Source organism: Homo sapiens, chromosome 5 (assembly GCF_000001405.40).
Source record: "Homo sapiens chromosome 5, GRCh38.p14 Primary Assembly".
Classification (NCBI taxonomy): domain Eukaryota; kingdom Metazoa; phylum Chordata; class Mammalia; order Primates; family Hominidae; genus Homo; species Homo sapiens.
In genome coordinates this window covers 56,135,530-56,162,324 of record NC_000005.10, presented here as the reverse complement: position 1 = coordinate 56,162,324, position 26,795 = coordinate 56,135,530, and the positions used below count along the sequence as shown (strand labels likewise).

General features: G+C 42.4%; 1 protein-coding gene and 2 pseudogenes across 2 annotated transcripts in view, besides 4 other annotated features; 2 read left to right on the top strand and 1 right to left on the bottom strand.

Moving 5' to 3' along the window:
- ANKRD55 (ankyrin repeat domain 55) overlaps positions 1 to 26,795 on the top strand; it is a 133,651-nt gene that overhangs the window by 71,006 nt on the left and 35,850 nt on the right. Inside the window, exons 1-3 of one of the 2 annotated variants that reach the window (XM_047417710.1) lie at positions 1,395 to 1,537; positions 2,432 to 2,492; positions 18,396 to 18,524. In XM_047417710.1, coding sequence (XP_047273666.1) covers positions 18,399 to 18,524 — 126 coding nt within the window. In that variant the 5' untranslated portion in view covers positions 1,395 to 1,537; positions 2,432 to 2,492; positions 18,396 to 18,398. Of the gene's footprint in view, positions 1 to 1,394; positions 1,538 to 2,431; positions 2,493 to 18,395; positions 18,525 to 26,795 lie in introns of those variants that run through there. The other variant, NM_024669.3, reaches the window with a different exon arrangement.
- Positions 1,466 to 2,261: an enhancer, noted in NCBI's record as "H3K27ac-H3K4me1 hESC enhancer chr5:55455891-55456686 (GRCh37/hg19 assembly coordinates)". NCBI's record gives its function as "activates a minimal SCP1, AML or CMV promoter by ChIP-STARR-seq in primed H9 embryonic stem cells {active_cell/tissue: H9 hESC(primed)}" and the evidence as "EXISTENCE:reporter gene assay evidence [ECO:0000049][PMID:30033119]".
- Positions 4,652 to 5,447: an enhancer, noted in NCBI's record as "OCT4-NANOG-H3K27ac-H3K4me1 hESC enhancer chr5:55452705-55453500 (GRCh37/hg19 assembly coordinates)". NCBI's record gives its function as "activates a minimal SCP1, AML or CMV promoter by ChIP-STARR-seq in naive H9 embryonic stem cells {active_cell/tissue: H9 hESC(naive)}" and the evidence as "EXISTENCE:reporter gene assay evidence [ECO:0000049][PMID:30033119]".
- Positions 5,438 to 5,607: a silencer, noted in NCBI's record as "silent region_16019". NCBI's record gives its function as "represses an Ori minimal core promoter by ATAC-STARR-seq in GM12878 lymphoblastoid cells {active_cell/tissue: GM12878}" and the evidence as "EXISTENCE:reporter gene assay evidence [ECO:0000049][PMID:35858748]".
- Positions 13,355 to 13,855: a transcriptional cis regulatory region, noted in NCBI's record as "chr5:55444297-55444797 region (GRCh37/hg19 assembly coordinates) targeted for CRISPR interference". NCBI's record gives its function as "positively regulates IL6ST gene expression in Jurkat T cells {active_cell/tissue: Jurkat}" and the evidence as "EXISTENCE:mutant phenotype evidence [ECO:0000015][PMID:33828297]".
- Positions 15,479 to 15,586, top strand: RNA5SP184 (RNA, 5S ribosomal pseudogene 184; annotated as a pseudogene).
- RPL17P22 (ribosomal protein L17 pseudogene 22) lies at positions 24,756 to 25,366 on the bottom strand (annotated as a pseudogene).

The following is a 26,795-nucleotide window of genomic DNA, read 5'->3' as shown; positions in this document are numbered from 1 at the left end:
TATAAAGAAGAGAATGGCTTTGAAAGCCAAATAGAGAACTATCTAGGCACACGGTTCATCCCACAACCTTGGGAGGCCACCCAGGATATGACAAGAGGTCCTGCTCTCCCTACCCCCATTCTAATCTGGTTAGAGCCCCAGAAGATCCTGTCTGGCTACAGATAATCTCTGTCTGCTCAGGAGTAACCAAGGATAACCACACTGGACCACAGCTGACCTCCTGCCTTGCCCTTCCCTCCTCCCCCAGTCCCTCAGACCAAATGGGCCCTAGAGAGTAAACAATGGCCAATAATGAGCCAGAGAAGACAGAAAGGAAAGAAAGAAAGGAGAAGCACAGTCACAAGGTAAGCCCTGCCCCCACTCACAAAGCAGCCACAGGGAAATATATCCAGTGGTGAAATAATTGCAAAGATAAAAATTGTGTGACCCAAAATGCAATTATTTTTATATGTCTTCCTACCAAAGGCTACATCTAGAATTCAGAGAGCATAAAAGAGATGTACTGTATGCAGTCATAGCCATTGTCCCTTTAGTGTATGTGACCCAGGGTCTTTCTGCCTGTTGGATCACTCAATCCTTTACACCACTGCGTTACTACCCCTCTGATATACATGAAGATACAGAAACTCAGATCGTGCAGTAGTGAGGTCAGAATTAAACCTCAGCATTATCCTGGCTCCCCAAAAGACTATGATACAACAAGATTGAAACCACAGGCTTCCTGGTTATTTCACCTCCACCGCAAATAACCAGAAGTCCATCTCTATTTAAGCTCTCTGTGTATTACATTTACTGCTAAGGCAATATGATTAGTGGATCTTTCTTTTCTTCTATTGCAAGTAACAATTTAATACTTAGGGCTTTAGATGTCTTCCAATCTGAGAGACGATAAAGATTTGATTGGAGAAGAGACTAAACAATTTCATTTTACAAATAATTCTTCCAAAAGCAATTTCTGAATTTCCTCCATTGACTGCCCATACACTATTCTTTATCATCTTGATGAGTATCCATTGATTAATTCTTTCAGCACCTTTCTCAATTGTTTCCAAGCCTGGCTGTTTACCATAATTTCCTGAATAGCTTTTTTTAAACAGTAGAAGCTGGGCTTCTCCAGACCTACTGAGTTAGAAACCCTGAGTACAGAGTCCAGGTATTTGTGGTTTAAAAAAAAAAAAAATCTCTCCAGGCAATTCTGAGATGGAGCCAGGGTCCAAACTTCTGGGGTTAAGCACTCTAGAAATAACAGCATGTTCCAGGCATGCTCTATATGTTGTATGCATATTAACTCATTTAATCCTCACACTGAGCTGTGTGATAGGTAGTTTTTATCACTCCTATCTCACAGATGAGGAAGTTTAGGCAGGAAGAAGGTAAGTAACTTGCCTGAGGTCACAGAGCTCATCAGTGGCAGGGCTGGGATGTAAACCCAAGCCATCTGGCTGCAGAGCCCGGGCCCCTCTCCACTATGCTCGGCTGCCCCCCTCTCCCAGATGGAGCGTTGACTTCAGTCAACTGAGCAGGAGATCCAAGTCAGGTAAGAGCCTGAATCTGAGAATCATTGATAGCTGTTTTACACTGATTACTGTCATCTTGTGCTTAGGCATGTGTGTATTTTACAAAGAATGAGCAAACTTGCAAATACTGACAACCTCCTGGTATAATCTATGCATTAAAAAGGCATGACATATGCAGCTAGGAGTGAAGCAGGTCGAAAGCACTCTGTAAGTTTCTATAAAGTGAATCTTGTGCTTAGGCATGTGTGTATAAAGAATAAAGAATAAGTGGCCGGGCACGGTGGCTCACACTTGTAATCCCAGCACTTTGGGAGGCTTAGGCGGGCGGACCACGAGGTCAGGAGATCCAGACCATCCTGGCTAACACGGTGAAACCCCGTCTCTACTAAAAAATAGAAAAAATTAGCAGGGCGTGGTGCGGGGCGCCTGTAGTCCCAGCTACTCGGGAGGCTGAGGCAGGAGGATGGTGCTAATCCGGGAGGCGGAGCTTGCAGTGAGCCAAGTTCGTGCCACTGCACTCGAGCCTGGGCAACAGAGCGAGACTCCATCTCAAAGAAAAAAATCATAATAATAATTGCTACATGATTTTGGATCTTAAAGGGCATGGCTAGGAGACAGAGGCCTGGTGAACACAATGAGCCTAAAGTTTCTCCATCCCCTTGTGCCCCTCGGGAGTGCTGAGATGAAGAGAGGGTGGGAGAGGCAGACAGTAGCCCTCCACACAGGTGTCTTCTAACCTATCACACTCTTGCTTCTTTTCTGTGGATCTTTTTCCCAGAGAAACGGAAAGGGCCCTCATCTTCATTTGGAGTCTTTCAACTGACGGTTTTTCTAAGGTCATGTTTTTATACCGATTCCAAGAGCACCGTGACTGCCTGTTATTTTGAGCCATTTCTCCTATTTTTTCCTTACAGGCTCCTCACGGTCCTGTTGCAACAGTCGAACATCAGCGAGATTAATCACCAGGACAATGAGGTGAGCCACACTCTCAAGCAACAAGTGGTCATTTTGCATGTGAGGGTGAAAGGAAGGGCGTTTCTGAACCATTGTGCTTCCTCTTAAAAGCTACGGGGAGACATGAGGCATGGTTCTGTGTTCCTACCCTGAAAGGGAGACCTGTTTTCACTATTAATCCTCAGCAGAAACTTATCCCCACCATGGGTGTGTGTAGCTTCTGATAGGGAAGGACTTTATTGCATTAAGTACTTCAGCATTTATCATACGACTGAAATTTTGTAACTTCCCTCTGGACATTGAGAAATAAATATTGCTCTCTCCTGTCTTCTCAAGTCCCAGAAACTTAGTAGCAAGCGGTGGCTCAAGACGTGCTCTCTTTTTTTTTTTTTAAGATGGAGTTTCGCTCTTGTTGCCCAGGCTGGAGTGCAGTGGCACCGTCTTGGCTCACCGCAACCCCCGCCTCCCAGATTCAAGTGATTCTCCTGCCTCAACCTCCCCAGTAGCTGGGATTACAAGCAGGCGCCACCACACCCGGCTAATTTTGTACTTTTAGTAGAGATGGGGTTTCTCCGTGTTGGTCAAGCTGGTCTCAAACTCGCGACCTCAGGTGATCTGCCTGCCTCGGCCTCCCAAAGTGCTGGGATTACAGGCATGAGCCACTGCACTCAGCCTAAGACATGCTCTCTCGTGTAAGATGGCAGAGAGGTGGGTGTAGTGGCGCGTGCCAGTGGTCACAGCTACTCAGGAGGCTGAGGTGGGAGGATCACTTGAGCCCAGAAGTTTGAGAGTCCAGCCTGGCAACAAAGTGAGACCCCCCTCTCTGAAGAAAAAAAAGAAAGAAAAAGGAAAACAATGACAAGACTGGACACTGGCTCATGCCTGTAATCCCAGTGCTCTGGGAGGCCAAGGTGGGAGGCTCACTTGAACCCAGGAGTTTGAGACCAGCCTGGGCAGCAGAGCGAGACTCCATTTCTACAAAAAGTTTAAAAAGTAGCTGGGTGTGGTGGCACATGCCTATAGTCCCAGCTACTCTGGAGGCTGAGGCAGAAGGATCACTTGAGCCCAGAAGTTCAAGGTTACAGTGAGATATGATCACATCACTGCACCCTAGCCTGGGTGACAGAGTGACATCCTGTCCCCCTCCCCTCCAAAAAGAAAAGAAAAAGATGACAGAGAGATAATATTAATAATTCCGGGTTACCTGCTCCAGACATCACATTATTAATCCCAGTGATCGTAACTGCTGTTTAATTCATGTTGCAAGTAGAAGGCTTCCAAAAAGGTCGTTCAACACTCTTCAACAAAGTTCTTGAGGGAAGGTGGCTCAGACACTAAGCAGAGCTGTCCAAGAGTAGCTTAGAGTCTTGTTAGATCTGCTTAACTCTTTTAAAATGCAGTACTAATTTTCCTTAGCCAGGCTGATTTCCTTAACAAGGTTCTTAAAATCAATTTAAATACCTGGTTTTCAATGGAATTTTAAAGTAAATATGTGCTTGGTTTGGTTGCATTTCACTAAGAAAGTCTGATAACATTAAAAATGTACATACACAAAGATGCCGATTACATTATTTTCAAGGAAGCTAGGTGACCATAGGCAAGGGGGCGGGGGTAAGCCTCCTAATCACTTTCTTCTGGGGCAGATGCCCCCGCATCTGCCTTTTTTTTTTAAATAGACAGATTCTTACTCTGTCGCCCAGGCTGGAGTACAGTGGTGCAATCTCAGCTCACTACAGCCTCCGCCTCCCAGATTCAAGAAATTCTCCTACCTCAGCCTCCCAAGTAGCTGGGACTACAGGTGTGCACCACTATGCTCGGCTAATTTTTGTATTTTTAGTAGAGACGGGGTTTCACCATGTTGAGCAGGCTGGTCTCAAACTTGTGAGTGAAGGGGTGGCCTGCCCCTCCATACCTGTGAACGTTTCTCGTCAGGTGGAACGAGAGACTTGAGAAAAGAAAGAGACACAGAGACAAAGTATAGAAGAAGAAAAGTGGGCCCACGGGACTGGCGCTCAGCATAAGGAGGACGCGCGCCGGCTCCGGTCTCTGAGTTCCCTCAGTATTTATTGATCATTATCTCTACCATCTCAGAGAGGGGGATGTGGCAGGACAATAGGGTAATAGTGGGGAGAGGGTCAGCAGGAAAACATGTGAACAAATGTCTCTGTATCATAAACAAGGTTAAGAAAAAAGTGCTGTGCTTTTGATGTGCACATACATAAACATCTCAATGCCTTAAAGAGCAGTATTGCCGCCAGCGTGTCTCATCTCCAGCCCTAAGGCGGTTTTCTCCTATCTCAGTAGATGGAATATACAACTGGGTTTTACACCAAGACATTCCATTGCCCAGGGAGGAGCAGGAGACAGATGCCTTCCTCTTATCTCAACTGCAAAGAGGCCTTCCTGTTTTACTAATCCTCCTCAGCACAGACCCTTTACATGTGTCGGGCTGGTGGACGGTCAGGTCTTTCTCTTGCCATGAGGCCATATTTCAGACTATCACATGGGGAGAAACCTTGGACAATTCCTGGCTTTCCTAGGCAGAGGTCCCTGTGGCCTTCCACAGTGTTTTGTGTCCCTGGGTACTTGAGATTAGGGAGTGGTGATGACTTTTAACAAGCATGCTGCCTTCAAGCATTTGTTTAACAAAGCACATCCTGCATAGCCCTAAATCCATTAAACCTTGAGTCGACACAGCACATGTTTCTGCGAGCACAGGGATGGGGGTAGGGTTACAGATTAACAGCATCTCAAGGCAGAAGAATTTTTCTTAGTACAGAACAAAATGGAGTCTCTTATGTTTACTTCTTTCTACATAGACACAGTAACAGTCTGATTTCTCTTTCTTTTCCCCACAGTGAGTTCAGGTGATCTGCCACCCTGGCCTCCCAAAGTGCTGAGATTACAGGTGTGAACCACTGCGCCCGGTCCACCCATCTGTCTTGAGCCTTCTGATTAAAGGCCTCCCTCTGACTAGCATTAATGACCACATCAGAAAGCCCCTGCTGCTTTCACTCCCCATATCTTCAGTGGTTTAAAGCAAAACCTCAGAGGAAAGAGGGTTGCACTGTTAGAAACTTCTGCTTTAAAGATGAGAACCAGAGATGAGGTAGCACACTCTGGTCACTCTGCCCATGGTGTCGAAGCAGGGAGCTGGAGTGGCGGAGTCCATGTCAGCAGATTGTGAACCTCTAGATTTCAGGGCAAGTTGCCAACTACTTCCTCCACCTCCAACCTCTGGGGTAATCCCTAAACTAGGTCTTATTTAGAAAGATGACAAATTTGCTCATTTATACCCTAAAGCTAAATTCCACTTATAGACCTACAACTCCAGCACCCCTCAGTAGAACTAGCAACCCCCCAGCAAAGACATAGTTCCCTATTTTTCTCCACCCCAGGAGGCACCTGGCGGTGCAGACAATGAAAGCAGACATGGATCTTTCTAAGAGTGGTAATTGTAACACCTTACATAGAATATGTGGTAAATATTGGAAAAGTCCCTGGTTCCTCCTCATGCAAAGGGACTTCTGCAAAAAGATTCCTCCTGCTATTACACCAGCATATGGACCCGTTGGGTTTTAAGCCCAGAAAGCAGACCCAGCAGAGCAAGGGCCTCAACAAGGCACTTCCTACCCATGGTCACAGCTTCCTCTTTGGTCCATTCACAGCCTGCTGTCTGGAATCCATCTGAAACCAACTGCTAATGCTTGCCTGTGTTTTTCATACACATGGACTCCGCCACTCCGGCTGCCTGCTTCCACACCATGGGCAGAGTGACCAGAGTGTGCTACCTCATCTCTGGTTCTCATTTTTAAAGCAGAAGTTTCTAACAGTGCAACCCTCTTTTCCCCTGAGGTTTTGCTTTAAATCACTGAAGATTTAAAACAAAACATAGGGATATATATGTGTATGTATATATTATGTATCCATATATGTATGTGTATGTGTATATATATGTATCTGTATATAGATATATACATGGTTTTGGTTTTTTTTTTTTTTTTGAGGCAGGGTCTCATTCTGTGGCCCAGGCTACAGTGCAGTGGTATGGTGCGATGTCAGTGCACTGTAACCTCCGCATCCTGGGCTCAGGTGATCCTCTCACCTAGCCTCCTGAGTAGCTAGGACTACAGGCAGACACCACCATGCCAGGCTAATTTTTCCATTTTTAGTAGAGATGGCACTCATATAACTCTGAGGCACTCATAATTTTGTTTTTGACTGAGCTCCTGTACTAGGTCAACAGACCAGGCCAAATATCAAAATGGAGTCCCTCATACTTAAATTCCAAGTTACCAAACTGAGACCGAGTTGTTATCTGACCTTCTGAGAAATCAGGAGAGAGATAACACCCAAATTTCCCAAACAGGCTAGTTTTACTTAGCATAATAATGAAATTTCCTCTGCTTTTAATCCTGACAACAAAAAGTAACCTAAAGTAACCTGATGTTAAGCAATCAGTTTTTTCTCTGTTGTTCTGTTTCCCTGTTCTCATCTTTCATCTTTCAAGGAAAGTAACTTTGAAATAACCAATCTGCTTTTTGTTCTTTGCTTCTGCTTTTTTCAGTCCTTCTCTGTCTACAAAACCAACCTCCTCTGCTGGGCTCGTTGGAAAACTTTTTTTTTTTTTTTTAAGACAGTCTCACTCTGTCACTCAGACTGGAGTGCAGTGACACGATCACAGCCCACTGCAGCCTACTGCCTCAGCCTCCAGAGTAGATGGGACCACAGAAACCCTGCACCACAGGCATGCACAACCATACCCAGCTCATTTTTTGTTTTTGGTAGAGACAGGGGTCTTCCTATGTTGCCCAGACTGGTCTAGAACTCCTGGATTCAAGTGATCCTCCCGCCTCAGCCTCCCAAAGTGCTGGGATTATAGGCGTGCACCACCATGCCTGGCCAGAACATTTTGGAATGAAGCCCAGTTCTAGAATTGCAAATGAAGCCAGTTAAGATCTTTGAGGCCCGGCTCCACGGCTCACGCCTGTAATCCCAGCACTTTGGGAGACTGAGGTGGGTGAATCACTTGAGGCCAGGAGTTCAAGACCAGCCTGGCCAACATGGCCAAACCCCGTCTCTACTAAAAATATGAAAATTAGCCGGCTGTAGTGGCTCATGCCTGTAGCCCCAGCTACTCCAGAGGCTGAGGCAGGCGGTGGAATTGCTTGAACTTGGGAGATGGAGGTTGCAGTGATCTGAGATGGCGTGACTGCACTCCAGCCTAGGCAACAGAGCAAGACTCTGTCTCAAAAAAAAAAAAAAAAAACTTTAAAACTAAATCTTCTGCTGTAATTCCGTTTTTGCCAATTATTTATTTTATTTAGTTATTGGTCATTGCTAGTGAGAGCCAATCACGATAAATTTATAACAGCAAAAGCTCTTGCCATTGAGAAATAAATACAATTCTGAAATGGAAAGAACACAGCCCAGGCTTTCTTTTTCATTCATTACTTTGGTGGAGTTCCTGTATTTGGCTGCTCAATGTTTTGAACAAGTAATCTTCTCTCGTCTGTCTTTTTTCAACAAGCTCCAAGCATGATGTAGCCTCCATTGTATGAGGGGTAGCGGGGAGTAACAGTTAAATTCATTGTTTAAAAAAAGGTACCACTCTATGTGTTCTGCAACTTTTTTTTTTTTTTTTTTTTTTTTTGAGACAGAGTCTTACTCTGTTGCCCAGGCTGGAGTGCAGTGGTGCGATCTTGGCTCACTGCAAGCTCCACCTCCTGGGTTCTGCCTCAGCCTCCGAAGTAGCTGGGACTACAGGCACCCGTCACCACGCCCAGCTAATTTTTTTTGTATTTTTAGTAGAGACGGGGTTTCACTGTGTTAGCCAGGGTGGTCTCAATCTCCTGACCTCGTGACCCACCCGCCTCAGCCTCCCAAAGTGCTGGGATTACAGGTGTGAGCCACCACACCCGGCCTAACTTAGTTTTTTCAACTCAAGCATTTGTCTTAGAATTTTTGATACATATAGATCTGGCTCATTCCTTTTTTGTTGTTGTTGTTTTGTTTTTTTCGAGATGGAGTCTTGCCCTGTCCAGGCCGGAGTACAATGGTGCGATCTCGGCTCACTGCAACCTCCACCTCCCGGGTTCACACCATTCTCCTGCCTCAGCCTCCCGAGTAGCTGGGATTACAGGCACCCACCACCACGCCCAGCTAATTTTTGTATATTAGTAGAGACAGGGTTTCACCATGTTGGCCAGGCTGGTCTCGAACTCCTGACCTCGTGATCCACCTGCCTCGGCCTCCCAAAGTGCTGGGATTACAGGCGTGAGCCACGGCACCCAGCCTGTGGCTCATTCCTTTTAATGGCTTCATCATGTTACATAATATCAAAATACCCCCATTTATTTTGCCATTCCCCTATGAATGGATATTTAGGTTGTCTCAATTTTTCACCATCATAAACACCAGTCTAAAGAGTGTTTCTTGTACAAGCCTCTTTGCATACTCTGTGCAAGCATTTCTCTTAAAAGAATAATTGCTGGGTAGTAGAGAGTGTATGTTTTTATTTTTAATACACACTGCCTAATTATTCCCCCAAAATAGCTGCGTGTCGTTGTTGTTGTTGTTGTTGTTGTTGTTTTTAGTGGAAGTACTGGTTTTTTCCCAGTTGTTGCTGGATTTTCTTGTTATTTGCATTTTCCCTGATTAATGAGATGAACATCATTTCATAGACATAATGGTCTTTATTATATCTTCTTTTGTGACTTGCCTGTTTACATTCTTTGTCGATTGATCCATTGGGTTGTCATTTTCTTATTGATCTATAGGAGTTTAGTTTATATGCTGAATATTAATGCTTTGCTGTTGGGTTGTAAATACTTTTTCGTAGGCTGTTGGCTATTTTGAAATAGTTCATAGTACCTTTTCTTATTCAGAAATGTAAAAATCTGATATAATTAAAATGATCATTCTTGTCTGTTTCTGCTTTTTCTTTTGATGTCTTTTTAAAGAAGGCCTTCTCTACCCCAAGAACTGGATTATGTTATGTTAAATTATGTTTTTGTTTGTTACCAGATTTTTTTTAATATATGGTTTCATTTTTGAACTCTTTGTTCTGTTCCAATGATCTGTTTGTTTTTCCTGTTTCATTAACCACACTGCTTAATTATAAACTGACTTATTTAGAAGTTATCCACACTGCGGTTAACACTGAAAAAAGCAAGATAGGTCAGATTGTCCTTTGTGCTTTTGTTCTTCAAAACAGGACCTCAGAAGAATCATTGACATAGAGTGAGGCTTGTCTGTTGCAGCTACCGGGAGTTAAATGGAAACTAACCTCTCCTGCTCTCATTTTAGCCTTGACAGGAAGAGTGTTCTATCAAGAGAGGCTCTGAGCTGTTGGCATCTGGGTTAGAACTTTGAATGCATTTAACCAGAGAAGCACTGTTATGCACAGCATTTAGGATATATATATTGTTTAGGATATATTAAATGCACATTCTTATGTAAGCAGATTTTTGTGAGCAGTCTGACAAACAAAACTTCAATTGTAGAACCACTCTGAGAAAATAAATTTAAGTTGCAAAAACAGATGTGACCTTTTGGACATAATTCTTAGCATCACTTCTACTTACCACATTCCTGAGATAGAACCAAAAGCAGAAGAAACAGTCCCTGACTTGAAATTTTTAACTTTACAGTTAGCAAAAGGTAACATAACAAACAAAAGTTTTTAATGAATCAGAAGTTTTAGCCTAAGACCGAACATCTAAAAAAAAAAAAATGGAGTAGGGTCACCACTACTTAGGAGCCCCCACCTCCCTCTCCCACTCTCCTCCAACCCTATAAACTTCTAGAGGCAGACCATGCCTTTTTTTATCTTTGTATCCCCAGTTTCTAGTTCAGTAGCTTGCACAAAAGCTTTAGTGAGGCACAAAAATTTTTTATATATATATACACACACATATATACATATATACATATATGTGTATATACACACATATACGTGTGTATGTATATGTATATATACACACGTATATATACATATATATACACACACACATATATATATATAGATTTTTTTTTTTCCGAGATGTGGTCTCACTGTGTCACCCAGGCTAGAATGCAGTGGCACTATTTTGGCTCACTGCAACCTCCGCCTCTTGGGTTCAAGTGATTCTCCTGCCTCAGCCTCTTAAGTAGCTGGGATTACAGGTGCCTGCCACCATGCCCGGTTAATTTTTGTATTTTTTGTGGAGATGGGGTTTCACCAGGTTAGCCAGGCTGGTCTCGAACTCCTGTCCTCAAGTGATCCACCTGCCTCGGCCTCCCAAAGTGCTGGGATTATAGGCGTGAGCCACCACGCCCAGCCTAGATATATATTATATCTAGATATGTTATATCTAGGGAGAAAGAAAGAATTAAATTCAAGAAAAAGTCATGTTATTTTATTTTATGGCCCTTTCTTCTTTTGTTTTGTTGACTCAGCTATCCAATTTATTTCCCAGACTTGACTCCAGGTGACTGTTATTTCCAAAACCTACTCTCAAAAAACTAAGATTTTCATGGTATTAGAGGTGTTTATGAGATATAAATAAGTAAATAAAATTTTATACCAATTAGAATTTTTTAAAAATGTCCTGTAGACTTTAGAGCAGGAGTCCTTACCCATATTTATGACATGGACACATCTTCATGTGTTTGTGAAACCTATGGATAACTTCTCAGAAACATACCTGAAATTAGGCTGGGTGCAGTGACTCACACCTGTAATCCCAGCCCTTTGGGAGGCCGAGGCAGGAGGATTGCTTGAGCTCAGGAGTTCAGGATCAGCCTGGGCAACATGGCTAAACCTCATCTCTATTTAAACTTCTTTTTAAAAGGAAAAAAATATCAAAAAGGAAAAATATCTGAAATTACAGAAAATGAAACATATAAGATTGCGAAAGAAATCAAAATATTAAAATACAGCTATCAAAACATTCTTTTATTTATTTATTTATTGAGACGGAGTCTCGCTTTGTCGCCAAGGCTGGAGTGCAGTGGTGCGATCTCAGCTAGCTGCAACCTCCACCTCCAGGGTTCAAGTGATTCTCCTGCCTCAGCCTACCGAGTAGCTGGGATTACAGGCACCCACCGCCACACGTGGCTAATTTTTGTATTTTTTAGTAGAGGCGGGATTTCACCATGTTGGCCAGGCTGGTCTCGAACTCCTGACCTCAAATGATTCATCCACCTTGGCCTCCTAAAGGGCTGGGATTACAGGTGTGAGGCACCACGCCCAGCCTATTTATTTATTTATTGAGACGGGGTCTCACTCTGTGAGGCCAGAGTGCAGTGGTGCAATCTCAGTTCACTGCAACCTCTGCCTCCCAGGCTCAAGTGACTCTCCCACCTCAGCCTCCCAAGTAGCTGGGACTACAGGCGCATACCACCATACCCAACTAATTTTTTTTTTTTCTGTAGAGGCAGAGTTTCACCATGTTGCCAAGGCTAGAAAACATTTTAAAGACCAAATTTATGATAATAACATATAAGGTTGTTTATTAATGCGTTAAATAAGATTTGATGGTAGGAGCACAAACTGCTACAATTGTTGAAGTAGTGAGACATGTAGTGATCTGCAATCACTAATGTAATAGCACTGTACCTATAATTTATAGAGGTGGCAAAGTCACAGGTACTGTTTATACTACTGTGGGTTGTTGCCTATATTCATAATTGAAAAAGATGTTAAATTTCAATTAGAAGTTAGTGAAAATAGGCCGGGCGCAGTGGCTCACGCCTGTAATCCTAGCACTTTGGGAGGCCAAGGCAGGCGGATCATGAGGTCTAGGAGTTCAAGACCAGCCTGGCCAATATGGTGACGCCCATCTCTACTAAAAATACAAAAATTCAACGGGCGTGGTGGCTCGCACCTGTAGTCCCAGCTACTAGAGAGGCTGAGGCAGGAGAATCTCTTGAACCCAGGAGGTGGAGGTTGCAGTAAGCCGAGATGGTGCCACTGCACTCCAGCCTGGGTGACAGAATGAGACTCCGTCTCAAAAAAAAAAAAAAAAGAAGTTAGTGAAAATAAAGATGTAATTATTTCTCTGATGAAACTCACACATCCTTATTTCTATCCATGGATAGAGCTCTTGCTCTAGTGGCAATTTCCAAAAAAAAACCTCCCAAAAGTATTTTGAGCAATGAGTAGAATAATTGTATAGCCTCCCAAGGTGATCTCCTTGGAACAGGAAGATTGTTTTATTTTAATTATTCAACAAATATTTGTTCAGTACCTGCCATGTCTCATGTGGGCTTCATCCCTGCTATGATGGAGTTCACAGTTTAGTGCAGAAGAATGTAGATGTTCTTTTTTTGTTGAAAATTAAATCTATCAACTTAGGCTTCTATTCTGAAGGCTTTGTTTTATAAGTTTGTTCTTGTTAGAATTGGCTCCTAGACTTCTATGGCCTAAGTTCGTTTTATTGTTTTTCTTGTCTGATTTAAATTATGAAAACTCCCATTCTAAAGTCTTTTTTTAAAAATGTCAGACATATTATTCTTATAATTATTACAGGGAGAAAGTGAGAGTTTTTAAAGAGTGTCGTTATTAGCAGCCCTTCCTAGTGCCCTAAAATCCAACCTCAGAGTATTCTTGGCCTTCAGTTACAGTCTTTGGCTATCGTGATGCTCACCGTCTATCTACTCAGTTTAGGAAATTCCAAAACAAAGACAATGAATTAATTTACTAAGCTTTCTGATGTATAAGATTGTTTTTCAAATAAAAATGAAAGAAAATGGCTTTCATTACTGTACTTGTAACACCATCTAGTTTTTAAAACTAGATCTACTTTTAAAGTACATATTAATTCCAATTTTTTATCTAAGGGAGACCCTCTATCACTTTTGTTGGGGGTGATCATATATGATTAGAGGATTAAGTATGTTAATTTTTAAATGTCAACCAGAGCCAAGCTGCTGGAAATTCTAGATCCTTCAAAGCATCTGGAATTGTTTACTGACCTCTCAGCCAGCAGACACCTGCTATAATTCTTAACCCTCCCCCTCCACCACCCCACCCCGAACCGCCAACCAAGACGGGGAACAAACCAAGCACCCAGCCACATCAACATTTCTCTCTGTGTGCCTTTCAGTGTTGTCTAGAGACACTCTAAAAGTACAGTTCTGAAACATGAAACCTGCTAAGCACTAAAGCAGATTTCTGGTTCAGAAAACACAAAAGTGGTTTTGAAAAAAAAAAAATGTTCTGAGAAGCTGATAGGACTTGTAAGCCTTTAACTGAAATTGTGGTGGCACAGGTTCAAGGCGCAGAATTACTCATCAACACAAGACACTGTTCCAAAGCAACCCTACTATGCACCCAACAGTTAGAACATACATTTTGTCTTATCAGCAATCTAAAATCAGATCCCAAGTCAACCAAAACTTAACATTTCCCCTCAAAACATTCTGGAGAGCTTATATTTTTAACTGAATATGTGTTCCTCCTCACTCTTTGAGCCAATCAATACTTTTTGATTTTCAGAAGAGTAGAATTCTCCCGTCACCAGGGCCATCTGGGTGTTTGTTGCAACATGCCTGATAGTGACTGCTAGATTGTCAGCTCCTAGATGCTTCGAAGGCTCAGTTTATCCCTCAGTGAAACTCCAGGAAGTAACTGGTTGGAAAGGTCTCCATAACTTGGACACAGATGGCTGTCTTATCCAACAGACTCTGATTTTATATTCCCTATGAGTCCAAGTGATCTTTGATAAGCTGCAATTCACTAATTAATTCTTCCAGTAAGCATTTCTTGAACACTTACTGTGTGCTCAGTGCAGGGAGCATACCATGCTGAATATGCCACAGCATCTGCCTTTATGTGCATCACAGCTTAATCGTGATTTCTGTCACTGCTTAGTACAGATACCAATTGCTAAGCCTGATGTTTGCCCCTTAACTGGTCACCAGAATTTTAACATAAGACAACTACAATTTCTGCGGGCCCAACAGAAGTTGAAGAAAGAAGAAGAAGAAAGGAGAAGGAAGCAGTTGTAGGAAAATGTTCCTAAATAAAGTGTGCAATACCAACCGCTGCCTTTGAGCTGCTTTTGAAAGCTTTGGTTTTCACATTATTAACTCTAAGAGGATTTATTCTTATTTCTCATCAGCCCAAATGAAAAAAAGAAAAAGAAAAAAAAGCGGCAGGAAATTTCCCTTTACTTGACTGAGTGTTCACAGCCCATTTATATTGCACAAGTATTTAGAAAAGTAATGAAGTAATTTGGGTCTTGATTTGGAGCCATTCAGAGGATCACCAGTTATTTTCAAGATGTTCTCAAGTTTTGTGGTGACGGTGAACTGGGTGGGAGAATATGTATTATGTATGTGTATATATCTTATAAAAATAAATGTTTGCCAACTGCACTTTCAGGAGGACCCTTGAGGCAATGCCAAATGAAACAAAAATATAGGGTACCAATCCTTACACTAGTAAGAACCATCATTTTAGAAAGTAAGACAACCTTGAATCCAGCTACAATTACAAAGAAAGGAATTTTTTAGCATCTGAGCTCATTCCCAAAATGAAATTCTACCACCATGATGTGTGGAAAGAACATTTTTTTCTCCAGAGTCAGAGAAACAAGTATTGAACCCTAGCTCTACCATGGACTCAGTCAATGGCCTTAGGCAAATTACTTAATCTGTATTTCAGTTTCCTTGCCTGTAAAATAGGCTTAAAACTACTAACCCCTTAGGATCATGTAAAGATTCTATGAGATAGAATATACAAAGCTCTTGGCACCAAGTAGGTGTATGAAAAATGATAGCACTCCTCCCACCCCACCCCTTCACCAAACTATGCAAGAGTTGGGTTTTGTGGGGGGGTTTCTTGCGGTTGTTTAAAGAGAATAACTCTTAAAGTCTGAAACTGTATTTAGGAGACAATAATTAACACTGCATTACCATTGTTTAATTCACAACCACATTTTCGCACTGAATTCCCACATCTCTAAATCATACTTCTGCATATACTCATTGCCATCTACCTCACGTTTGACAGTGCAGTGGTCTATGGCCAGAACCACCCTGAACGCACCTGACCTCAGAAGTTAAGCAGGGTTAGGCCTGGTTAGTAATTGGATGTGAGATAGTACAGTAGTACAAAGGACAAGATTGTTTGGAGCACTCATCAAAAATCCTGACAAGTTTCAGCTAATGAGTTGGTAACAATGATCATATCAGACAAGTTCATTGTCTATAAAGGAGAGGTCATGTTCTGCCTTTCTTCTGTGTATGATTTTAAAAAGCAAAGCCAAATTTTTACGAAGAAATTCGGCCGGGTGCAGTGGTTCACTCTTGTAATCCCAGCATTTTGGGAGGCTGAGGTGGGCTGCTAAGGTCAGGAGCTCGAGACCAGCCTGGCCAACATGGTGAAACCTGTCTCTACTAAAAACTACAAAAATTAGGCAGGCGTGGTGGCGGGCACCTGTAATCTCAGCTACTTGGGAGGCTGAGGTAGGAGAATCCCTTGAACCTGGGAGGTGGCAGTTGCAGTGAGCCGAAATTGCGCCATTGCACTCCAGCCTGGGCGACAGAGCGAAACTCCATCTCAAAAAAAAAAAAAAATCAGTGGAGCATAGTAAGTCATTCGTTCCGTTAATAAGTGTTTACTCAGCATCTATAATGTGCCTGGCACCATTCTAGGATCTAGGAATTCAGACTGGCAAACAAAGGCCCTGCTCTCATGCAACTTACGCTCCAGTAACTTGAAAAGTTTTGGCACTTCGTGATGAAGCCAATGACTTCATTTCATCACTTCATTTGCAATGAAGCAAATGGGACTAAGAACTGGGAAACGGGCTATCCATGCATTATTTTTAAAATATAATTTAATTTTAAAATATAATTCCCTTGTGTTAGATTTCTAACCCCAGTGTGCCCAGTTAAAAATGAAGAGGACCAATTAGAATGTACTGAGGTATTCTGATTTCCAAGTAAATATTCAGCTATTGGAATAAGAATAAGAAGTTCCATTGCTTTTATACCAGCATTGTTTTTCATATGGAACCAATTTCTTGAAATATCCTCAAGAGTATCTCTGGAGGTTCACTGTCATATGATACTTGAAACTTGAAAGCAAACCATAATATAGGAATTTAAAATATGGAACTGGTTGAAGGGATTTTCTAATTCTAGTGTCCCACAAACCTTAAACCCTAGATTCAGTTCCATGCTACTCACAAACTCAGGAATTTCTCTAGAGCTCAGCTTCCTCTTCTATTAAATGAGAAGTACAATGGCACCTATCAGAGCTGGCTAACTGCTCTAGCAAACGACTTGAAATCTCAGTAGCCTGACACAATAAAGGCCTATTTCTTGCTCATATCATAATCCAGTGCTGTTTGGCAGGGTGGTCCTATTCTCCCTCATTGATCAGAAACCCAGGCTTTTCAATCACATGATTCCAGCATCTTCCAGAGCCTTGTCCTCCTCTGCATTCTGTTGATATATGAGGAAAAAAAGAAGATGTGGAGGACCACATGGGCTTTTTTTCTAGCCCAGGCCTGGGGAAGGTTTCCATCTCCTCTGTCCACATTCCAATGGCAAGGACTCAGTCATGTGGCTGCACCTATCTGCAAGGAGGCTGGGGAATGTAGTTTGACTGTGTGCCCTAGGGGAAGAGGAAACAGCTTGGTGAACACGTAGGAGACATCACCACAGTACTTACTCCAGAAGTTTGTTTGGAGGATTAAGTGAGACAATAGATAAAAGAACTCATAAAGGTCTCTAGATCAATAAATATTAGCTCTGCGCTATTATTAATGTGCTCCTGTCTAGGCTGAGGCCCATCTTCTCCATGCAGCTCACCCTGGAAGGAACAGAGAAAGCCAAGGTGTTGTCTCCTAGCTTTATGCTATCAGCAGAGATAACTATAGAAAGAGAGTCTTCAAAGCTGCCCATGCCCTTTGCCCCCTTTATCAGGCATCTTCATTTCAATTCATTCTAGATACATTTCATGGAATTGAGATGAGTGAGCAAGGAGAAGAGCCAATCTTTTCATCATATATACGTTCAGATAACGCTGGCTCTTTTTGGCCACCATTTCTCAGCATAAGCTCACTTAATGTTAAATTATACCTAACCCATATGACCCTGAACTCTGAAAGAAGCTGGGATTCACCATTCATTTATCCAGCTCTGTTCTCCAAGCTGCCACAGTGATTTCTTCTAAACAGTGTACATCTGATCATGCCAGTACCTGCTTAAAATCCTTCATTGTCTCTCCACTGAATTAGAATAAATTCCAAATGTGTTATGCAGAGACAGTTATCCCCCATCCCACCCTCCCAGGATCAGCCCCTGCCTCCCTCTCCAACCTCATTTCACATTGCTCTCTTCCCCTCCTACCTCATTCATTCATTCAACAGCTATTTCTCCAGCCTTTAGCCTAGGCATTAGAGATAGAGGAAAACAGACAGCACCCCTGCCCTGGTGGTGGGGGATTGCACTCCAGTCACAGAGGCCTTCCTTTAACTTACTCTCTGCCTCTGTGCTTGGTGTTGGCTGTCCTCTTCCTCCATTTCTTCTTTCAGAGGCCTGTTTAGAACAGTCCCTCCACCCTTGGTTACTCTCTCACCAGCATCCTACGTGCATTCTTCATAGTATTTATCAATCTGGAAGATTGTTTGACATGTTTTTGTGCATTTAATATCTGCCTTCCTTTACCACAGAGCAATTTCCATGAGGGTAAGGATCTCATTTACCTTATTAACTTTTGTATCCTGAACAACTGCTTGCCTGGCACAAAGCAGACAGACAATAAACATCTATGGAATGAATGGATTAATGAATGAATGAATGAACCAGCAGGAAACAACCAACGCATCTGGTGATGGCCCCCAGGCCTGAGGAGAAAGTGTGAGCTCCAGTTTTCTTCCTGGGAGCCTGTGCTCATCTCTGTCCTCTCTGACTGTTGTTTTGCAGGGAATGACACCACTCCACTGGGCGGCTTTCCACAACCAGCCTCAACACACACAAATGCTGCTGAAGAAGGGGGCAGACCCCACCCTTGTGGATAAAGACTTTAAAACCGCTCTCCACTGGGCAGTCCAGGTGAGAAATTGACCTGTGGACTGGTCTCAGGTTTAAATGGTGGAAAGCAGTGTTAACAATTTTCTGAGTAGGTCAAACTTTAAAGATGGAGGTTTCAGCTCTTGATTCAGCTCCACCACTTGTTGAAAAGAAACCCTGCCAAGATGCAAAGGGGAGTAGTTATAAAATATCAAGCAGAGCCTGCCTTGGGTGGCACACACAGACACACACATACCCCTCTCATTCTCTCTGTTTCTCTCTCCATCTCAATGTTTGCTACCGGCTTACTGTGTCCCAGAGTAAACCTTCAAAGAATTGCTGGGAAAATGCCTTCAAAGTCTTTGAACCATGACTCTCTGACTCTCTTCTTGCTTCCAAATCCTCCCCAGCAGAGTCATTTCAGGTGATCCTGAATTCTACACCCGACAGTGAAAGTAGTGGCTCATGACCCTGCATCACTATCACATAAGGGAGTCCACGTCAATACACACAACCAAACAAATCAGAATAGGCTCAAGAAATCTATTGTCCAGAGAGGGCAAAACCAAGAGTAAGGTGAAAGAATAATAATCACTAATGTGTAACCGAGTGCTTTCTATTTTCAAGGGGAATGATTAACTAAAAGTTATCTATTCCTTTTTTCAAGGAGAGCATCCTTTGCATAAACTTGCCAGCCCGTCTCTGTCTTCAGCACAGACACCCCCACAGTTGATTTCTGTTGGCCCAGAAAGGGCACCTGTCTGAGCTACTGCCAGGACCCTGTGAGAATAGTTTCTGCTGCCCTGACTGTGGTTTCAGTCAGCATTTCCATGTGCCAAGTACAGCAGAAGTGGGCACCTGGGACTTTCAGGATTGACATGTGTGCCTGATGTAAGGGGAAAACAGAAGTGATCTGGAAACTGCTCTGTTTTCATCCCTCTAACCTTGGCTTCAGTTTCTCTGCACCAGTTTCTCTGCAAAGCTATGCAGTGAGCAAGGCTTGTTTTGTCATCTCCACCTGCCCATAGCACCCTCCTACATACTTTCAGTATCTAATCACCTGCCCTGCCACCATCGCTGCCAGTCTCTGCCCAGGACTCCATGCCCTGGGGCTGGCCTCTGGCTGGTCAGGGGTCACCACTGTAGCGGTGGCCACAGAGGAACCTGGCTGGGCTCCCAGGAAGCTCCTCATGTGTTGGTTCTCAGCTGAGATGAAAGTGGCACCAGAAGCAGGCACTTTCTACATAGTCACCTCAACACCACTGCACTCTGATTCCCTAGATCCAGGATGCATGTGCATTTTGAAAAACCTCCCCAGGTAATTCTGACTGACATGCGTCCCCCTTCCACCATCCCAGCCCCAGTGTAGAGCTGCTGTCTTAGACCTGGCCTTGCGATGGAATCACCAGCAGTGCTTGTAAAACAACAGATTCCCAGACCCCCGCTGGGCCCTCACAGGGTGGAATCGCTGGGTTTTTGTTGTTGTTGTTTAGTTTTGTTTTGTTTTCTGAAATGGAGTCTCACTCTGTAGCCCAGGCCAGAGTGCAGTGGTGCGATCTCAGCTCACTGCAACCTCCACCTCCCGGGTCCTGGTTCAAGCAATTCTCCTGCCTCAGCCTCCCGAGTAGCTGGGATTATAGGCACACACCACCATGCCCAGCTAATTTTTGTATTCTTAGTAGAGATGGGTTTTCACCATGTTGGCCAGGCTGGTCTTGAACTCCTGACCTCGTGATCTGCCCCGCTCGGCCTCCCAAAGTGTTGAGATTACAGACGTGAGCCACTGCACCCAGCCGGGAATCCCTGTTCTTATCCTTTAAGAGGCACTTTGGCAAAATCATAAGAACAACCTACTCAACTCTGAATATCTGAGTTTGCATTAATACACTTGGGCTTGATCTAAGGCAAGTCAACACTTGCTTGGCTTAACTGATAAAGGTATCTTTGATAAGGGTATGCATGGTCAGAATGAGACCATGCATATGATAGTGATATGTAACGTACTATGTAATTGGACGAAATGGTCATTTTTATTAGGGTTCCTGATTTTCTCCACAGGAAACTTAGTTATTATACCCATGCCTTCATATTCTTTCTCTTTTTTTTATGTTTACCAGTTCGTTATAAATTATATAGCAAAGGATGAAGATGAACAGACAGGTAGGGCAAGGGTATGGGGGAACAGGCATGGAGCTTCCGTGCCCTCTCTGGGTGTGCCACCCTCCAGAAACCTCCACATGTTCAGCTACCTGAAAGCTCCCATACTCTTTGTCTCTACTAAATGTCACAGCTTTTAACCTACTACATTGATTTCAGCCCTGTCTGCACAATGGAATAATCTGAAGAGCTTTTAAACAATACTCACGTCCAGGCCTCACCTCTTAGATTTTCATTCAGTTGTTCTGGGGTGGGGCCCAGCCATCAATATTTTTCAAAACTGGAGCTGGGCATAATGGCATGTGCCTATAATCCCAGCTACTTGGGAGACTGAGGCAGGAGGATCACCTCAGCCCAGGAGTTTGAGACCAAGCTGTGTAATGCAGTGAGACCCTGGGCTCTTAAAAAAAATATTTGTATTGGCTGGGAGCTGTGGCTATAATCTCACCTCTTTGGGAATCCGAGGCAGGAGGATCACTTGAGGCCAGGAGTTCAAGACTAACCTGGGCAATATAGCAAGACTCCATCTCTATATAAAAAAAAAAAAAAAAAAAACTGTGTGTGCATGCATGTACACACATACACACACACACACATATATATATAGATAGATATATTTTTTTGAGATGGAGTCTTACTCTATTGCCCAGGTTGGAGTGCAATGGTGCGATCTTGGCTCACTGCATCATCTGCCTCCCGGGTTCAAGCAATTCTCCTGCCTCAGGCTCCTAAGTAGCTGGAATTACAGGCACACACCACCACGACTGCCTAATTTTTGTATTTTTAGTATAGATGGGGTTTCACCACATGGGTCAGACTGGTCTCGAACTCCTGAACTCAGCTGATTCACCTGCCTCAGCCTCCCAAAGTTCTGGGATTACTGGCATGAACCACTACGCCCAGCCACACATACATTATTTAAAGCTCCCTCCTTTCCATAGAAGACTGTAATATGCAGCTAGGGTTTAGAAGCACTATGATAAATGAATTCATATTAATGGGTGCTAATACTTTACCTACTATTGGAGATGTTTGCATTTTGACCATGATTGTATAAGCATAATGCCTCGTTCATTTATTTACTCAATCACTAAATAAATACTTCTTGAGCATCCACTATGTGTCTTGCATTGGAGGCAAAAAGATTAAAAAGATAGGTCCCTCTAGAACCCCTACAATTGTATGTAATACTGTATATATGGTGTGTGAGCATGTTTGCATTCATTTTTCTGAGGAAGGAGTCCACAACTTTCTTGACCTCCTCAATGAGGAACAGTGACTACCCACAAAAGGCTAAGAACCCCGGCTCTGGAGAAATTGTGCATTCTCCTTCCCTATGGTTAGCAGTAAAATTCAGAAGTGGTGTACTCTGCCATTTATACTGCAAAGACTGAGGGTAATTCCAAATGTCAGCTGAAATCATTATTACACTTGCCTTCTTTAGACTTCTTGTTCATTTATAACACAGGGCTAGCATTGTGCTCATTTTAGAGTTTTTCCATACGAATGAGTCTATTTCCCGTTGTCATTTATTCCTTTTTCTGAATTTCCTGCTTTTCTCTTGGACCATATAATGAGATCACATTTAAAGCTATAGTTCATTGAAATAATAAGGCCTTTGTATTTCACCAAAATAAACAAAGCAGTAAAGATTGGAAACAGTAGGCCTACTAGGTAAACTAAGTTTTACCCTGGGCTCAAGCAATTCTACCACTCGGCCTCCCTAGTAGCTGGGACTACAGGCACACACCACCATGCCTGGCTAATTTTTTTTAAAGTAGAGACAAAGTCTCACCATGTTGCCTATGCTGGTCTTGAACTCCTGGACTCAAGAGATCCTCCCACCCAGGCCTCCCAAGTGTCGGGATTACAGGCATGAGCCACCACACTTGGCCTTCCAATCTATTCTTACAGAGCTCTTCCAACAAATCACAAAGACATGTACTAACATAGCTATTATTATACCAAAACAATTACGGTCACTGTTGGTCCTTGGTTCCCCACCCCTGACCTTTCCTCTCAAGCTCACGTAATCTTGGCTCTAATCACACTGGAATATTAGTAATCCTCACAATACATCATAAAGATTCCTTCTCTCTCCCCTGCTGTCATGCTCTTCCATTTGGGTAAAATGCTTCTTTCTTCTTGCACTCCCTGTATCATTCCTTCTGCCTACAGAATATCTGCTTATTCTTTCTTATTTCTCAAAGCCCAACTAAGTGTCACCTTCTTTGTTGAGCTCCCTTTCCAAATTCTTCCCTCCACGTTACTTCTAGAACTTTGTTAAAATTGGTGAGGTGCCTGTGTCTTCCCTTCTAGACTGTGGACCTAAGGGCAACGTGCCTTATTCATCCAAATGTCTCAACACCCAGAACAGAGCTTTGTGAACCGTAGGTCCCTAAAGAGGTGTTCATTGAATTCACTCCAATAAATTTATTCATCTCAGGCCAATGGGGTTAATGGCTTATTGGGTTCTTTCTCTCTGTGGAAAAAAACATTTCATGTAAAGACTTTAGTTTTCTAGAGCAGTTTTAAGTACCCAATAAAATTGAGAGGAAGATTGCAGAAATATGTCACATATTAATATCTTCTGCCCCCCCGCCCCACTGACAATAAATTGCCTCCCCCGTTACCAACATCTCCCACTACAGTGGTACATTTGTTACAATTGATAGCCTACACTGACAGGTCATCAATGCCCAAAGTCCATAGTTTACCATAAGCTTCACTCTTGATATTGTACATTCTGTGGAATTGGACAAAGGTATAATGACATGTATCCATCATTAAAGTATCATGCGGAATACCTTCATTGCCCTAAAAATCCTCTGAGCTCCCCTTATTCTTTCCACCCTTACCCTAATCCCTAGCAACCACTGATCTTTTTACTGTCTCCATAGCTTTGCCTTTTCCAGAATGTCATATGATTGGAATTGTACTGTATGTAGCTTTTTCAAATTGTCTAGTAATATGCATTTACATTTCCTCCAAGTCTTTTCATGACTTAATAGCTCATTTCTCTTTAGCACTGGTTAATATTCCATTACATGAATATACCAAGGTTTACTTATCCATTCATCTATGCAAGGACATATTGGTTGCTTCCCAGCTTTGCCAATTATGAATAAAACCACTATAAACATCTGTGTGCAGCTTTTTGTGTAAACATAAGTTTTCAGTTCCTTTGGGTAAATATCAAGGAGCACAGTTGCTGGATCTATGATAAGGGTATGTTTAGTTTTGTAAGAAACTACCAAAATGACCAGGCACGTTGGCTCACACCTGTAATCCCAGCACTTTGGGAGGCCAAGGCGGGCGGATCATGAGATCAGGAGTTTGAGACCAGCCTGACCAACATGGTGAATCCCTGTCTCTACTAAAAATACAAAAATTAGCTGGGCATGGTAGTGGGTGCCTGTAATCCCAGCTGCTCGGGAGGCTGAGGCAGGAGAATCGTTTGAACCTGGGAGGCAGAGGTTGCAGTGAGCCAAGATTGCGCCATTGCACTCCAACCTGGGTGACAGGGTAAGACTCTGTCTCAAAAAAAAAAAAAAAAAAGAAAAAGAAACCACCAAACTGTCTTCAAAAGTGGCTGTACCATTTTGCATTTCCACCAGCAGTGAATGAGAGTTCCTGTTGTTCATTATCCTCACCAGCGTTTGGTATTGTCAGTGTTCTGGATTTTAGCCTTCCTAATCAATGCACTGTGGTATCTCATGGTTGTTTTAGTTTGTGTTTTTCTGATGGCGTATGATGTGGTGCATCTTTTCATGGGCTTATTAGTCATCTGCAAATTTTCTTTGTGAGCTATCTATAAAGATCTTCTGCCCATTTAAATATCATTGTTGTTTTCTTACTGTTGAGTTTTAGGAGTTCTTTGCATATTTTGGCAATAGTCTTTTATTAGATACGTCTTTTACAAATATTTTCTTCTAGGTTGGGGCTTATCTTGTTATTCTTTTGGCAGTGTCCTTCACAGAGAAGTTTTTGATTTTAATGAAATCTAGGTTATCAATTTTTTCTTCCATGGATTATTATTTCAGTATCTAAAAGTCATCACCAAACCCAAGGTCATCTCAATTTTGCTCCTGTTATCTCCTGGAATTCTTTTTTTTTTTCTTTTACTTTTAATTGCATTTATTTTAATGCTGAATTTACTCTCGTGCCATAAGTTTTTGTTTCTTCAGTTTCTTCTGGGATATCTTTTTCTTCTGGGCAATCTCCTCTTCTGGTTTAGGAACATTTTGTTCCTTTTCAGTAAGGATCATCTCAGTGTGGCAGGGAGAGCTCATGTATGGGTTAATCCGACCATGAGCTCTGTAGGTCCAGGGGCACATCTTAGGTGCTTTGTTCCCATGGATATGCTCAATGACCAGATAATCTACATCGAAACCCATAAGTTCAGCATTACTCTCTGCATTTTTAAGCATGTGCAGCAAAAATTCAGCACTCTTTTTGGGCCACCGACCTTGTGTCCAGCCCCACTGCTTGGCCTGGGCACACTTGCCAACTCCACCACTGTAACGTCACAATGGTACACACTGTTTCTGTAAAGTGACATCTTTCAGATACTTTGTGGCTTTTCATATATGCCTACCCTGATGGCCTGGGCATTTCACAAGTGTTCGTAAAGTGAACACGAAGACTTGAACCTCTTGATTTGCATGATTTTGTGGGGCTCTCTGGGTCAAGTGAAGAGCGAATCATTTTCACAGATTAGCTGAGGCCACTTAGGGAAAGAGCATCTCCTGGAATTCTTATATAATTTTAGAATTCACTCTGTCTCATCCAGGCTGGAGTGCAGTGACATAATCATGGCTCACTGCAGCCTGGACCTCCTGGTCTCAAGTGATCCTTCCACTTCAGCCTCTTGAGTACCTGGGACTATAGGCACACCCACAATGCCTAGGTAATTTTTTGTATTTTTTTTAGAGATGAGGTTTCATTATGTTGCCTAGGCTGGTCTTGAACTCCGGGACTCAAGTGATCCTCCCACCCTAGCCTCCCAAAGTGCTGGGATTACAGGTACGAGCCGCCTTGCCCGGCCTAATTTTAGGTTTTACATTTAGGTCTGTGATCAGTTTTGAGTCAATTTTGTGAAAGGTATAAGGTCTGTGTCTAGGTTTACTTTTTTGCATGTAGATGTCCAGTTGTTTCAGCACCATTTGGTGAAACAACTACCTCTTCTTTATTGTATTGCTTTTACTCTTTTGTCAAATATCAGTTGATTATGTGGGTCTATTTCTTGGCTGTCCATTCTGTTGCATTGACTTACTTGTCTATTATTTTGCCAGTATCACACTATCTTGATTACTGTAGCTTTATAGTAAGTCTTAAAGTTGAGTAGTGTCAGTCACCCAACTTTGTTCTCCACTATCTTGTTGACTATTCTGTGTCTTTTGCCTCTCCATATAAACTGTGGAATCAGTTTGTTGACATCTACAAGATAAGTTTCTGGTATTTCGATAGGGACTATATTGAATCTATAGATCAAATTTTGAAGAACTGATATCTTAACAATTTTAAGTCTTCTTAACCATGAACATGCAATATCCATTTATTTATTTATTTTTATAATTTTTATTTTGCTCTTACCCTTACCATATGAAGATCTCCATTTATTTAGTTCTTTGATGTTTTTCATCACACTTTTATAGATTTTTTCATATAGCTCTTGTATCACATTTTGTTAGATTTGTACCTAACTATTTAATTTTGGGGGGTGCTAATGTAAATGGTATTGTATTTTTAATTTCAAATTCTATTTGCTCATTGCTAGTATATAGAAAAATGATCAACTTTTGTATATTAGCCTGTATCCTGAAATCTTGCTATAATTGCTTCTTAGTTTCAGAGCTATTTTTGTCTATTCTTTCAGATTTTATACATAGATAGTCATGTGATCTGAAAACAGACGGTTTTATTTCTTCCTTCCCAATCAGCATTCTTTTTATTTCCTGTTCTTGTCTTATTGCATTAACTAGAACTTTGAGTATAATATTGAAAAGAGGTGGTGGAACCGGGTACAGTGGCTCACGCCTGTAATCCTAGCACTTTGGGAGGCCGATGCAGGCAGATTGCTTGAGGCCAGGAGTTCAAGACCAGCCTGGCAAAATGGCAAAAACCTGCCTGTACTAAAAATACAAAAACTAGCAG